Source organism: Homo sapiens, chromosome 15 (genome assembly GCF_000001405.40).
Source record: "Homo sapiens chromosome 15, GRCh38.p14 Primary Assembly".
Taxonomy (NCBI): Eukaryota; Metazoa; Chordata; class Mammalia; order Primates; family Hominidae; genus Homo; species Homo sapiens.
This window is the reverse complement of record NC_000015.10, coordinates 20265076-20281110: the sequence shown is the minus strand read 5'-3', so window position 1 is coordinate 20281110 and position 16035 is coordinate 20265076. Positions and strand designations below refer to the sequence as shown.

At 47.0% G+C, this 16035-nt stretch overlaps 1 pseudogene; it reads left to right on the top strand.

The window, feature by feature from the left end:
* The window catches only part of RHPN2P1 (rhophilin Rho GTPase binding protein 2 pseudogene 1), a 48446-nt pseudogene continuing 36657 nt past the window's right edge, over window positions 4247-16035 (top strand).

Below are 16035 nucleotides of genomic sequence, written 5' to 3'. Positions count from 1 at the left end.
GGCTCTGTGACCTTGGGCAGCCATGGCCGTTGTGCACCCATTCCCAGCTGTAAAATGAGAGGCTGGGCTGGCTGATCTCAAATGTCCCCTGCCAGCCTGAGATTCTGCGTTGTGTCCTGGGGTGTGACCGTGACATGCCTCCAAAGGCAGCTGCCAGTGCTCACGAGGGAGGCCTTTTTCCTGAGTTAAGGCAGGTAGGGGGACTGGGGGTGAGTTGAGGGACTGGGAGGTGGGGGAAGCACACAGACAGTCCTCCCCAGCTGAACCCTCATGGTGAATTACCTTCAGTCCCAGGCTCAGTGCTTTGGAAATGCTCTCAGGCCCAGCACCCAGACCTGGAACCAGCCTCCAGGCCCCTGGCCCTCCCTTTCTCTACTGGAATCTTCCAGACCGAGGCAGGTCAGCTGAAAGTCACTGACTCTGCCTTCCACAAACTCATAGCTGACAGACCATTCCATGTCCCCTCCCAGCCCCGTCCCAGGAGGGGAACTCACTTCGCCTTCCCACCCTCCAGGCCGACTCACTGTCCGTCACTCTCTGGGTCCCACCCACTGTCCCACCGACTTCATTGGTCTAAAAATATGCTCTGGCGTCTTGTTGGAAAGCAGAAGGAATCATGGGCCCTGCTGATAAGGTGAAGAAAGTGACCCGAGGGGGCAAACTTACAGACGGGACATGCTTTAGCAAAATAACAAAACAGCGGGACCTGAAGGCTGGCTTCCCAAGCCTCCTCAAGGCCTTGTGCCAGGAAGAGGACCCTCGGGCTTAGGGAAGTGAAAACCAGGCTCGGGTCCCTCACCCAGACCCTTCTGCCCACTTTGGGAGGGAGCCCAAGAAGTCAGCTAGGGAGGGACCTCCCAGTGGGACCTGAGTCCTGATTGGAACTTTCTGGGGGCTTTCTTGGCATTTTACGTGTGTTGTCACAACTCCTTGATGGGGGAGTTAAGCATGGTCTGTGGGATTCCACTGGGAGAGGACCCCTAGAAGCCTGGGCCGGGCCTCCTCCCAATTTCACCCCATATGCCTTTCCCTTTGCTCATTATGCTTTGTGTCTTTTGCTGTAGTAAACCACAGCCATGACTTTTGCAAGTCCTCCTAGATTAACACTGAACTTGGGGGTGGTTTTAGGGACCCTGACATACCTATGGATGTCTGCCTGCTTTAGCGCTATTTGTTGAAACAATAATCTTTTCCACATTGAATTGATTTGGCACTTTTGTTCAAATCAGTTGTAAAGATTTGCTACATAAATGTAAACATTTATTCCTGGACTCTTTTTTTTTTTTTTTTTTCCTGAGACGGAGTCTCGCTCTGTCACCCAGGCTGGAGTGCAGTGGTGCGATCTCAGCTCACTGCAAGCTCCGCCTCCTAGGTTCACGCCATTCTTGTGCCTCAGCCTCTTGAGTAGCTGAGACTACAGGTGCTCACCACCATGCCCGCCACCACGCTCTACTAAAAATACAAATTTTTTTTTGTATTTTTAGTAGAGACGGGGTTTCACCGTGTCAGCCAGGATGGTCTCGATCTCCTGACTTCATGACCCGTCTGTCTTGGCCTCCCAAAGTGCTGGGATTACAGGTGTGAGCTACCACACCCAACCTATTCCTGGACTCTTACTCTGTTTCATTGCCTATCTTTATGTCAGTACCATGCTATCTTGATGACTATGGCTTCTTAGTAAGTTTATTGTTTATTTTTTATTATTTTTTTGGGATGGAGTTTTGCTCTTGTTGCCCATGCTGGTGTGCAATGGTACAATCTTGGCTCATTGCAGCCTCTGCCTTCCGGGTTCAAGTGATTCTCCTGCATCAGGCTCGCGAGTAGCTGGGATTATAGGCATCTACCACCATGCCTGGCTCATTTTTTGTATTTTTAGTAGAGATGGGGTTTCACTGTGTTGACCAGGCTGGTCTCAAACTACTGACCTCAGGTGATCTACCCACCTCAGCCTCCCAAAGTGCTAGGATTACAGACGTGAGCCACCATGCCCAGCCCAGCTTCTTAGTAAATTTTAAAATCAATATGTCTTCCAACTCTGTTCTTATTTTTCAAAATTATTTTGCCTACTGTAGGTTTTTTTTTTTTTTGCATTTCCATATGAATTTTAAGATCAGCTTGCTGATTTTTATTAAAAAGGTTAGTGGGATTTTGATTGAGGTTGCATTGAATGAATGTACCAACTAAGGAGGCTTGACATCTTGACAATAATGAGCCTTCCCATCCGTAAACATGGAATAGCTCTTCTTTTAATATATCTCAGCATTGTTTTGTAGTTTTCAGTTTACATGTCTTGTGATTCTTTTGTTTATTCCTGAGTATTTTATTCTTTTTGATGCTATTGTGAATGGAATGGTTTTCTCAATTTCAAGATTGTTCATTGCTAGTATATAGAAATCGAATTGGCCAGGCACAGTGGCTCATGCCTGTAATCTCAGCACTTTGGGAGGCTGAGGCAGGAAGATTGCTTGAGCCCAGGATTTCTGGGCCAGCCTGGGCAACATAGTGAGAGTCCATCTCTACAAAAAAATACAAAAATCAGCCAGTGTGGTGGTGTGCACCTGTAGTCCCAGCTCCTTGGGAGGCTGAGGCTGCAGGATGGCTTCAGCCTGGGAGGTTGAGGCTGTAGTAAGCCATAATGGTGACATTACACTCCAGCCTGGCTGACAGAGTGATACCCTGTCTAGAGAAAAAAAAAAAAAAGAATTGATTTTTGTATATTGATTATACCCTGTGACCTTGCTAAATTTATTAGTACTAATATTTGTTTTATGGATGCCTTAGGATTTTCTATATATAAGATAATGCCATCTGTAAATAAAGACAGTTTTATTTCTTCCTTTCTAATCTGGATGCCTTTAATTTCTTTATTTGCCTCATTGATTAGAAATAGCAAAAGTGGGCATCTTTGCCTTGTTCGTGGTGAGAAGAGGAAAGCAGTCATTCACCACTAAGTGTGATGTTAACTGTGGGTTTTTGTAGGTGTCTTTTATCAGATTTCATAAATTCTCTTTTATTCCTACTTTGTTGAGAATTTTTATTATGAATCTGTGATGGATTTTGTCACATAGTTTTTTCAATATCTGTTGAAGTCACCATGTGTTTTTTGTCCTTTATTCTGTTAATATAATATATTATATTATATTGATTTTCAGATGTTAAACCAACCTTGCATTTCTGGGATAAATCCCACTTTGTTATGGTGTATAATCCTATTTATATGTTGCTAGGCTTGGGTTGCTAATACTAGTCTTACAGAATGAATTAGGAAGCATTACCTCTGCCTTCATTTTCTCATTCATTTATTTTATTTTACTTTTTATCATATATATATATATATATATATATATATTTATATTTTATTTCATTTTATCTTATTTTAGTTTTTAGAGACAGTGTCTTGCCCTGTCACCCAGGCTGGATTGCGGTGGTGTGATCATAGCTCACTGCAGTATCAACCTCCTGGACTCAAGCGATCCTCCTGCCTGGGACTATAGCCATGCATCACCATGCCCAGCTAACCATCCATTTCTTTCTTTTTTTAAAACAAATTTTATGTTTATTTATTTATTTATTTGGATTTCTCCTACCGAAAGGAATCATTCATTTCTTTTTTTTTTTTTTTTTTTTTTTGAGAGGGAGCCTTGCTCTGTTGCCCAGGCTGGAGTGCAGTGGCACAATCTCAGCTCACTGCAACCCCTATCTCCCAGGTTCAAGCCTCAGCCTTCTGCATAGCTGGGACTACAGGTGTGCACCACCACACCCAGCTAGTTTTTGTATTTTTCAGTAGAGACAGAGTTTCACTATATGTTGGCCAGGCTGGTCTCGAACTCCTGACTTCAGCTGATCCACCTGCCTCGGCCTCCCAAAGTGCTGGGATTACAGACGTGGGCCACCACGCCCAACCAGAATCATTCATTTCTTTTCAAGTGGATATCTTATGGTATTTTAGGGCATGGCTGGGAGCAGTTTTGTTTTCTGTTCTCAAGGTGGAGTTTTTGCAGGATGTCATAGAGTTCATGTCTGCAGCTCACAGTGTCATTGCCTGTGTCCGCAGCTCCACGTACTGGCAGGTGTACTGCAAGCTGGGCAGGTGCTCCGTGTCCCTGGGATACCTTACCCAACACTCCTGGCCCTCCTCTGCAAGCCGTGCCCTGATCCTCCCTGCAGGGACTGGGGATTGGTTCTGCTCACCCAGAAGCCGGGATACCTGGCTGAGGGCACTTCTCTCCCTCTTCTCTTTGAACAGAGTGGCCGCGAACCCAAAGGTGCGGGAACAAGTGCGGCTGGAGCTGAGCTTGGTCAACTCAGACCTGCAGATGCTCAAGGAAGAGCTGGAGGGGCTGAACATCTCAGTGGGCATCTATCAGAACACAGAGTAAGTGGGAGCAGCACACCTTCCAGAAGCCTCTGAGCCAGAGATCCTTCATATATCCAGGGTATGAAGAGGTACCTGGGTACGAACCCTATCTGCACAAACAGGGCAGATAGGGTTCTAGACTGGGGTGTGGCAGCCCCAGCTTTGGGAAGTGAGAGAACCATCAGGTTTGGGGTTGAGTGAGGTGCTAGACTGGAAGGGATGAGCCCATTTCTTGGGAAATATCTGCAGTGTTGGGAAATATCTGTAGTGTTGGGAAATATCTGCAGTGACAAAAAGGCATTTGTGAGGCCAGGCACAGTGGCTCACTCCTGTAATCCCAACACTTTGGGAGGCTGAGGCGGGTGGATCACCTGAGGTCAGGAGTTCGAGACCAGTCTGGCCAACATGATGAAACCCCGTCTCTACTAAAAATAAAAATAGCCAGATGTGGTGGTGCACACTTGTAATCCTGGCTTCTCAGAGGCTGAGGCAGAATTGCTTGAACCCGGGAGTTGGACGTTTCAGTGAGCCGAGATCACACTACTGTACTCCAGCCCGGCTGACAGAGCAAGACTCTGTCTCAAAACAAACAGACAAAAAAAAACAAATGAAGACAGTATAAAATCTAGTGTAAATATACGTGATGAACCAAGATAAGTTTAAAAGTTAGATGCCTTGGATTTTATAGTTAAGTTTCAGTAATTCCGCGTAGTCACATTTCATAGACATGCAAACATTAGCAAGATATGTTATTAAATTCAACTGAACAGACATTGAGCAAGGATATTTTAGTGGGTCATCATAATTTTCCTAAGAAACATTAAAGGGACATTGTTAGGACAATACCTTTCCAATGTTGGCTAATTATTTTCTCATTTATTTGCCAAGGAACAGAAAGCATACACAAATACTTCGGGATTAAGGCCAAAGGCCAAAATTGACCCTGTAAGGGGAGGCCACTATGCACACACAGAGATTCTGTGCACTGTACTTAGATGCTGGACTGCAGTCTGTTTCCTAGCTGGAGGTGACAAACTGAAACAGAAAAATCCAAATTAAAACAAAGTAACACACCAGTCTCCTTTTAAGGTTGTATTTCCTGTTTTTTTTTTTGACACAGAGTCTCCCTCTCTCACCCAGGTGGGAGTGCAGTGGCGAGATCTCAGCTCACTGCAATCTCCACCTTCTGGGTTCAAGCGATTCTTGTGCCTCAGCCACCTGAGTAGCTGGGATTACAGGCGTGCACCATCACACCTGGCTAATTTTTTTTTTTTTTTTTTTTTTTTTAGTAGAGACAGGGTTTCATCATGTTGGCCAGGCTGGTCTTGAACTCCTGGTCTCAAGTAATCTGCCCGCCTTGGCCTCCCAAAGTGCTGGGATTACAGATGTGAGCCACTGTGCCTGGCTCCTAGGTCAGTTTTGAAGGCACTCTATCGTATCATTCTCCATAACTCAATTTTGGAATTGATTTCTGCAAGATGAAAGCCAACAACACCATCCCTCAGAATTGCAATGCATCTCCAAAAATGGAGATCTAACTATGAAAGAAATGCCCCTCTTGCCTCATGTCTGTAATCCAGCTCTTCAGGAGGCTGAGATGGGGGATTGCTTGAGCCCAGGAGTTCAAGGCCAGCCTGGGCAACATAGTGAAACCCCATCTCTACAAAAAATAGGAAAATTAGCCGGGCATGGTGGTGTACACCTGTAGTCCCAGCTACTCAGAAGGCTGAGGTGGGAAGATCACTTGAGCCAGGGAGGTCGAGACTGCAGTAATGGCAACAGAAAGAAGTCCTGTCTCAAAAAACACAAAAACAAAACAAAACCCTAAGTGAAATGCTTCTTTTTAAGGAGAAATAACTTTGAGACAGTTCAAAGAAGGGTTTACGTGCTTTTTTAGTAGGGGCATGAGACTTCTCAAAAAGTAGGTGGGCCCCAGGGTAAACTCAGTCGGAAAATAGCTCCCTGGATTTGGGAACCTTAAGTCACCTATGGAATGTGTGTTTCCTGGTGCTGGTCCTCCACAGGGCACCAGGGTGGTTTCAGAGCTGGAGGGGAAGTGTCAGTGTGTGAAAGCTCGCTGGCTCTTCCCTTTGTGATACCCCGTGCCTGGCTTACCTGTGGGCTCCTGTACGGTTTTTATTGTTTGTTTGTTTGTTTGTTTTTTGAGATGGAGTCTCTCTCTGTTACCCAGGCTGGAGTACAGTGGCATGATCTCGGCTCACCACAACCTCCGCCTCCCAGGTTCAAGCAATCCTCCTGCCTCAGCCTCCTGAGTAGCTGGGACTACAGGCGCATGCCACCATGCCCAGCTAATTTTTTGTATTTTTAGTAGAGATGGGGTTTCACCATGTTGGCCAGGCTGGTCTCGAGCTCCTGACCTTGTGATCTGCCGGCCTCAGCCTCCCAAAGTGCTAGGTTTACAGGCGTGAGCCACCACACCTGGCCTACTGTGCAGTTTTGAACACCCAGTCAGTGTGACAGCTAATGGAAGGTTCTCCCAGCCTATGCTCTGGTGTTCAATTACAGTGTTTGTCCAAAAGGTTCAAGTTCTGGAGGAGGCGAGATGGGGCCAAGGTTTGGTAATAAATGTCGGCTGTCCCACACTCTCATTTGCTGTGCCGAAGAGTGGGGATGTGCAACACAGGGCTTCCCACAGAGTGAACCGAAGATCTCTGGAGTGGTCCCTGGGCTCTAGAGTGGCCAGTCACTGCCCTGTGTCACTGGGAAGAGGGAGAGCTGTGCAGATTCAACACGGCACCATGCATTTGGGTCCTGCGCTTTTCTGTTTTCTTTTTTTTTCTTTTTCTTTTTTTTTGAGACGGAGTCTTGCTCTGTCACCCAGGCAGGAGTGCAGTGGCGTGATCTCAGCTCACTGCAAGCTCCGCCTACCGGGTTCACACCATCCTCCTGCCTCAGCCTCCCGAGTAGCTGGGACTAAAGGCGCCCGCCACCTTGCCCGGCTAATTTTTTGTATTTTTAGTAGAGACGGGGTTTCACCATTAGCCAGGATGGTCTCAATCTCCTGACCTCGTGATCCGCCTGCCTCGGCCTCCCAAAGTGCTGGGATTATGGGCGTGAGCCACCATGCCCGGCCCTGTTTTCAAAGTAGATTGTTTCTTTCTTAGTATGGTTGATCTTTTTTTTTTTTTTTTTTTTTTTTTTTTTTTTTCTGAGACGGAGTCTTGCTCTGTCACCCAGGCATGGAGTGCAGTGGTGTAATCTTGGCTCACTGCTACCTCCACCTCCTGGTTGAAGTGATTCTCTTGCCTCAGCCTCCTGAGTAGCTGGGATTACAGGCGCACACCACCATGCCCAGGTAGTTTTTGTATTTTTAGTAGAGACGGGGTTTTACCATGTTGGCCAGGTTGGTCTTGAACTCCTGACCTCACGTGATCTGCCTGTTTCAGCCACCTAAAGTGATGGGATTATAGGCGTGAGCCACTGCGCCTGGCCTGCACTATTCTTTTTTCAAGGTAGACTGTTTCTTTCTTAGCATGGTTGATCTTTACAGTCTTCTAGGAGGTAGGCGGGAAAGAAATAACCTCATGGTGCATGAGGTTATTTCCCTCCCTCATGGTGCATGAGGTTATTTCCCTCCCTCATGGGAAAACTCAGGGAAGCCGGAGGGCACCTAGAGGGTGCTGTCAGTGCCACACTGGGGCTGGGGTGCCCTGGAGTTGGGACTCAGGACAGTCGCTCCTCCTCTTGTTGTTGCCTGGACAGCCACAAACCTGGCTTCCCACCCTGCGTAGCCTGGAGGAGCCTTCAGCAGAATTCGGCTTTCCATGCCCCCAGGATGGGTCTCACCTGGCCGTAGCATGGCTGTGCTGCAGAGCCAGGTTCAGCTTACAGCTGCATTGTCCCCTCGCCCTGCCCAGCCTTCCTGGCCTTCTTGTGGGGCTGGGCTGAGCAGCCCAAGGAGGTCTCCTGTTACAGGTCAGGGAGCTGAATCCCTGTTTGCAAAACACAGCCTGAGCTCCGTTCACTTCCTGCTGTCCCTGCCCCTAGGAATGTAGGCTCAGGGAGCACTCCCCAGGCGACCTGTGGTTACAGAGTGGTCAGCTGGGGGAGAGGAGGTGGAGGGTGTCTGACCCTGGGCTGGGAGGCAGGTGCACTTCGGTGTCGGATGGGGCTCCTGCCCTGATGGCATCTTCTGTGCTGGTGGTGGGACGCCTAGACACTTCCCAAAGAAGAGGCCCCTACGAACCCAGAGTTGTGAATGTGAGGGTGTTGGAGAGCTGCCACAGCTGTGGGGCCCGCTGAGGGGAGCAGAGGAGGAGGGGGTGAGGAGCTGACAAAGGAGGCGCAGGGCAGCAGGGTGGTGCACCCAGGTGGGAGCAGCAAGTGCACCATGCACAGGCCCTGGCACACAATAGACTCTCAGCACAGCTGCCAAAAGAAGCATTGAGATTGAGCTGGGCACAGAGGCTTGTATCCATCATCCCAGCACATTGGGAAGCCAAGGTGGACGAATCACTTGAGGTCAGAAGACCAGCCTGGCCAACGTGGTCAACATGGTGAAACCCCATTGCTACTAAAAAAATATACAAAAATTAGCTGGGTGTGGTGTCCTGTGCCTGTAATCCCAGTTACTCAGGGGGCTGAGGCAGGAGAATTGCTTGAACCTGAGAGGCGGAGGCTACAGTGAGCTGAGATTGCGCCATTGCACTCCAGCCTGGGCGACAGAACAAGAGTCTCTCAAAAAAAAATAAAATAAGAAAGGAACCATTTAGGCATTGAAACCGGGAGATAAATCAGTGTCAAGATGCCAGGGGCCTGATGTGTTAGGCAGGGTGGTCCAGCAGTCTTAGGGAGCAGGGTCAGTTTTAGAGCAGAGGGTGGGGCATGACTAGAGTCATCCTTATGGAAAATGAGCCTGTCAGCCAGGTGAGTACTGGATGGGGCAAGGAGGGGGCACACACCTGAGCTGGGCTGCTGAGGGCAAGGCTGTGGCATGCACAAGGGTCCGGTTGGGGGTGTTCATACATACCTTGTTGTGTTCCTCATAGGGAGGCATTTACGGTTCCCCTGATTCCTCTTGGCCTGAAGGAAACGAAAGACATCGACTTTTCAGTCATCCTCAAGGTAAATCTCAAAGCCATGGGCACTGGACTCAGTGTTTAAAATGGAAATAGGCCATTTGCAGTGGCGCATGCCTGTAGTCCCAGTTACTTGGGAGGCTGAGGCAAGAGGATCGCTTGAGCCCAGGAATTGGAGGCTGCAGTGAGTTGTGATCATACAACTGCACTCCAGCCTGGGCAACAGAATGAGACCCTGTCTCCAAAAAAAAAAGCAAAAAAATGGATATAGAGAAAATATGTATCCCTTGCAATGGCCTTAGGCTCAACAGGCAGAGTCAGTTGATATCTACAGAGTGACCCTGAGGCCCTTCTCAGCCAGCTACATGCATAATTGATATGTTTATTCCTGCCATATTTTTGTTGTTGCCTTTGATGGCTTCTGAAGCTCCTCCTGGGTCTTGGACAAGGCAGGTTGGAAACCCAGGAGGGCCTTCCCTGAGAGGCCAAGTCAAAGGGTCTGTAGTGGATATGCTTTCAAATTTAAAACTTACATCCTCTTTTATTAATAGTGTATTTGTTTCTTAAGTCATGTATCCAGTTTAGGTTATGTCTTTGGAAGAATAGCTAAAGTTTTTTCTCTAACATTTGATTATGAAAATTTCCAAACTTTTCAAAAAATTTTAAGAATTTTATAGCAAACCCCTGTGTACTCACTTCTTCCGAGAACATACTGCCAGCATTGCTTCCTGACATATTTGTCCATCTGTGCATTCTTGTGTCTGTTAGGTTGGTTTGAAGGTAATTGCAGTTTTTGCCATTGAAAGTAATGGCTAAAGGCTGGGCACAGTGGCTCACGCCTGTAATCCCAGCACTTTGGGAGGCTGAAGCAGGCGGCTCACTTGAGCTCAGGAGTTGAAGACCAGCCTGGCTAAAATGGTAAAACCCCTGTCTCTACCAAACGTACAGAAATTAGCTGGACGTGGTGGTGCACACCTGTAATCCCAGTTACTTCAGAGGCTGAGGCAGGTGAATCGTTCAAACCCGGGAGGTAGAGGTGGAGGTTGCAGGGAGCCGAGATCACGCCACTGCCCTCCAGCCTGGGCGACAGAGTGAGATCCCATCTAAAAAAAAAAAAATTAGCTGGGCATAGTGGCATATGACTGTAATCCCAGTTACTCGAGAGGCTGAGGCACGAGAGAGGCGCTTGAACCCAGGAGGCAGAGGATGCAGTGAGCTGAGATTGTGCCACTGCACTCCAGCCTGGGCAACAGTGAAACTGTCTCAAAAAAAAAAAAAAAAAAAAGAGAACGAAAGTAATGGCTAATATCAATCTGTCTTATTTGTGATGCAATTTCAAAGGAAATCAAAGATGTCAATTCACTCCCCTTAAATATTTGAATAACCAGAGTCTTTGCTTGTGTGTCCCCCTGCCACATTCCTGGGTATCTGGACTCCTCTCCCATTTGGCAGATCCTCATAAGCCCACCTGTGCCTGGCACTGTGCTGGGTGCCAGAGGTGCCACAAGCACTGCCTGCGGGGCCCTTGGGTCAGTGGGGGATTCAAGTGGGAAGTGGAAGGGGTGCTTCAATGGAGAACACAGGAGATACCGTGCCCGGAGGCTGGGGCCGGGAGACCGTCCTGTGCCTGGAATACCCTCCTCTTCCTTCCCTCTTCAACTCCATCAATTTGAGTTTTTAACCAGTCACCTCCAAATTCCATCAAGGAGGGGAAAGGGGATGAGGTGCAGGGTGGCCCAAGATTGCATCATGCAGCCCAGGCATTGGTTATAGGAATTAATCCTAGCATTGCGAAAATTGCTTCGAAGAAATATTTTGTGTTCTTTTTTTTCCTTTTTCTTTATTATTTTGAGACCGAGTCTCACTGTTTCACCCAGGCTGGCATGCAGTGGCATGATCTTGGCTCACTGCAACCCCTGCCTCCTGGGCTCAGTTGATGCTCCCACTTCAGCCTCCTGAGTAGCTGGTACTACAGGCGTGTGCCACCGTGCCTGGCTAATTGTTGCATTTTTCTTTCTTTTTTATTGAGATGGAGTTTAGCTCTTGTTGCCCAGGCTGGAGTGCAATGGCATGATCTCGGCTCACCGCAACCTCCACCTCCCGGGTTCAAGCGATTCTCCTGCCTCAGCCTTCCGAGTAGCTGGGATTACAGGCATGTGCCACCATGCCTGGCTAATTATGTATTTTTAATAGAGACGGGGTTTCTCCATGTTGGTCAGGTGGGTCTCGAACTCCTGACCACAGGTGATCCACCTGCCTTGGCCTTCCAAAGTGCTGGGATTATAGGCGTGAGCCACCATGCCCGGCCAATTTTTGTATTTTTCATAGAGACAGAGTTTCCCACTGTTGCCCAGGCTGGTCTCAAACTCCTGGGTTCAAGCAGTCCTCCTGCCTCAGCCTTCCAAAATGCTGGGATTATAGGCATGAGCCACTGTGCCTGGCTTATTTTACTTTCCATGATAATCCTCTTAGTTGGCTCATCTTGGACTACTTTTAGTTTAGAAAAGAAAACATCTTATGACATTTTGACTGTTACTTTTTTTTTTCTTTCTTTCTTTCTTTTTTTTTTTTTTTGAGCTGGAGTTTCGCTCTTGTTGCCCAGGCTGGAGGGCAGTGATGGCCATCTCAGCTCACTGCAACCTCCACCTCCCAGGTTCAAGTGATTCTCCTGCCTCAGCCTCCTGAGTAGGTGGGATTACAGGCACCTGCCATCATGCCTGGCTAATTTGTGTTTTTAGTAGAGATGGGGTTTCACTATGTTGGCCAGGCTGGTCTCGAACTCGATCCACCCGCCTTGGCCTCCCAAAGTGCTGGGATTACAGGTGTGAGCCACCGCTCCCAGCCAACTACTACTTTTAAAAGCAATTGGTTAATACTTTGGAAGCACTTGACCTTCATTCTCAGAGACGGTGAGTTGTTTGACATAAATAGAGGCCTTTTTTACTGCTGCCTTGTTTAAATCCTGTGAGTTTGGGGTTTATTTTGGAACTGGAGAAGGGAAGTTGGTATTCTGAGTGTTTCAGGACTCAAGTTTACCGGAAAGTTTATGTTCTGGGTAGAAAGCAATGAAAACAATCCAGGAATTGCAGCTTTATGCCACACTGCCACAGCCTGCCTGAACTTTTACGTGAGACTTATGCCCAGATGCAATGGCTCACGCCTATAATCTTAGCACTTTGGGAGGCTGAGGCAAGAGGACAGCTTGAGGCCAGGAGTTGGAGACCAGCCTGGGCAACAGAATGAGGCCTTCCCTCTCTCTCTCTCTCTTTTTTTTTTTTTTTTTTGAGACACAGTCTCACTGTGTTGCCCAGGCTGGAGTGCAATGGTGCGATCTCAGCTCACTGTAACCTCCACCTTCTGGGTTCAAGTGATTCTCCTTCCTCAGCCTCCTGAGCAGCTGGGACTACAGGCATGCACCACCATGGCCAACTAATTTTTGTGTGTATATATGTATATTTTTTGAGATGAAGCCTCGCTCTGTCGCCCAGGCTGGAGTACAGTGGCGTGATCTCGGCTCACTGCAAACTCCACCTCCCAGGTTCAAGCAATTCTCTGCCTCAGCCTCCTGAGTAGCTGGGGTTTCAGGCACCCACCACCATGCTGGCTAATTTTGGTATTTTTAGTAGAGACAGGGTTTCACCATCCTGGCCAGGCTGGTCTTGAACTCCTGACATCATGATCCACCTGCCTCGGCCTCTCAGAGTGCTGGGATTAGAGGTGTGAGCCACTGCGCCAGGCTAATTTTTGTATTTTTAGTAGAGACAGATTTTCACCATCCTGGCCAGGCTGGTCTTGAACTCCTGACCTCAGGTGATCTGCCCACCTTGGCCTTCCAAAGTACTGGGATTACAGGTGTCAACCACCACGCAGTCATCTCTTTCTCTCTCTCTCTTTTTTTTTTCTTTTTTAAGAGATGGGTTCTCCTCACTATGATGCCCAGGCTGGTCTTGAACTCCTGGCCATAAGCGATCTTCCTGCTTCCACCTCCAGCAAAAGTGCTGAGATCATAGATGTGAGCCACCACACCCAGCCCCATCTCTATTTTTATTTAAAATATATGTGTGTATATATAAATGCAAAAATAGATGTGACTTGCCACTGGTCTGTGGGACTCAAAACAATCCACGTGTCTGGAAATGTCTGTTGCTATTGTAGAAGTTTCTTTACGATTTAATTTGTCTGTTGCATGGTGCTGGGCTACAAGAATGTAAGCATTTTTTTTTTTTGAGATGGAGTTTCACTCTTGTTGCCCAGGCTGGAGTCCAATGGCATGATCTCAGCTCACTGCAACCTCTGCCTCCTGGGTTCAAGTGATTCTCCTGCTTCAGTTTCACAAGTAGCTGGGATTACAGGCATGTGTCACCACACCCAGCTAATTTTTATTAGCAGAGACAGGGTTTCACCATGTTGGCCAGGCTGGTCTTGAAGTCCTGACCTCAGATGATCCGCCTGCCTCAACCTCCCAAAGTGCTGGGATTACAGGTGTGAGCCACTGCGTCCGGCCAAGAATGCAAGCATTTTAAAGGAAGAGTCTCTTGGAGAAACTTAGGAATTTTATAGGCATTTTTAAGGATTCAACTGGGTCATGTTCTGAATTCCACATTAAAGCAAATGAAAATATTCACATGTTGTGGACATGGCCAACTGCCATTCGGCACAGGCTTCCAACCATGTCATTTTAGCCTAAAAGAGACGCTACAAATGTCAGTCATATGAAAATGAGAACGTTTGAGGGGCTTTCTGTTGTATTTTTTCCCTTCCATATTTGAGAGAAACACAGGTACTGCAGAAGTGGTTCAGCAGACTGAATTAGGGCAATTCCATTTCAAATCTGACTTGTGTGTCCGTGTGATATTTTTAATAATCAGTGAAGCTTCACAGTGTGATTTTGTTTTATTTTATTTTATGTATTTATTTATTTAGAGAGGGAGTCTCGCTCTGAAGCCCAGGCCGGAGTGCAGTGGCACAGTCTTGGCTCACTGCAACCTCCCTCTCCCAGGTTCAAGCGATTCTCTTGCTTCAGCCTCCTGAGTACCAGGGATTACAGGCATCCGCCACCACACCCAGCTAATTTTTATATTTTTAGTAGAGACAGGGTTTCACCATGTTGACCAGGCTGTTCTCGAACTCCTGACCTCAAGTGATCCACCCGCCTCAGCTTCCCAAAGTGTTGGGATTACAGGCGTGAGCCACTGCAGCTGGCTGATTTTGTTTTATTTTGAGGAAATAGGGCCAGGCACAGTGGCTCACACCTTTAGTCCCAGCTACTTAGGAGGCTGAGGTGGCTTGCTTGAGCCCAAGAGGTCGAGGCTGCAGTCAGCTGTGATTGAGCCCCTGCAGTCCATCCTGGAAAACAGAATGATACCTTGTCTCATTAAAAAAAAAAAAAAAAATCGAATCAATGAAAGAAAATGAAATCACATCTGTTCTTCAGTAAAGTTTAATAGTTTTCTGCTTAATTATATTAATTTTATCCCTAGAAATGTATTTTTGTTGCTATTTTGAAAGGTATTGTTTCTCTGTTAGGTTTTTTTTGTTTGTTTGTTTGTTTTTGAGACAGAGTCTCACTGTGTCGCCCAGGCTGGAGTACAGTGGTGCAGTCTTGGCTCACTGCAACCTCTGCCCCCCAGGTCCAAGTGATTCTCCTGCCTCAGCCTCCTGGGTAGCTGGGATTAGAGGCACCTGCCACCATACCCACCTAATTTTTTGTATTTTTAGTAGAGACAGGGTTTCACCTTGCTGGTCAGGCTGGTCGCAAACTCCTGACCTCAAATGATCTGCCTACCTCAGCCTTGAAAACTGCTGGGATTACAGATGTGATGAGCCACCACACCTGGCTGTCTGTTAAGTTTGTCTAATTGGTTATTGCTTGTATAAGAAAGGAAGAATATTGACTTTTCTTTTTTACTATTGACTTTCATGTGCTAACTTCTTTGCCACTTTATTGAATTCTTATTAATTTAGTAATGTTTCAGTTGATGCTATTGGGTTTTATAAACATGCTGTTGTGTTGCAAAAAATTATTTTGATTGTTTCTTTCCAGTATTTTATGTCTCTTATTTTTCTTAATGTGTGGGCTAGAGAATGTTTGGAATTAGGCTAAGTAATAACAGTGATGGTAGAAATTCTTGTTTTGTCCCTAATGTTTACAGTGGGTTTCAGTTAGGATTTTTTTTTTTTTTTTTTTTTTTTTTTTTTTTTTGAGACGGAGTCTCGCTCTGTCGCCCAGGCTGGAGTGCAATGGCTCAGTCTCAGCTCACTGCAACCTCCGCCTCCTGGGCTCAAGCTATTCTCCTGCCTCAGCCTCCTGAGTAGCTGGGATTACAGGCACCTGCCATCATGCCTGGCTAATTTTTGTATTTTTAGTAGAGATGGGGTTTCACCACGTTGGCCAGGCTGGTCTCGAACTCCTGGCCTCAAATGATCCACCTGCCTCGGCCTCCCAAAGTGCTGAGATTACAGGGGTGAGCCACTGTGCCTGGCCAGTTAGATAATTTTTTTTATCCCACTAAGTACGTTAATCTACCCTAGTTTACTAAGTTTCAAATTCAGGATCACATATATAATTTAATCAAAATCCTCTTTGACTTTTATGAGGTGAACATAAGATTGGAGTGCAGTGACGTGATCATGGCTCAC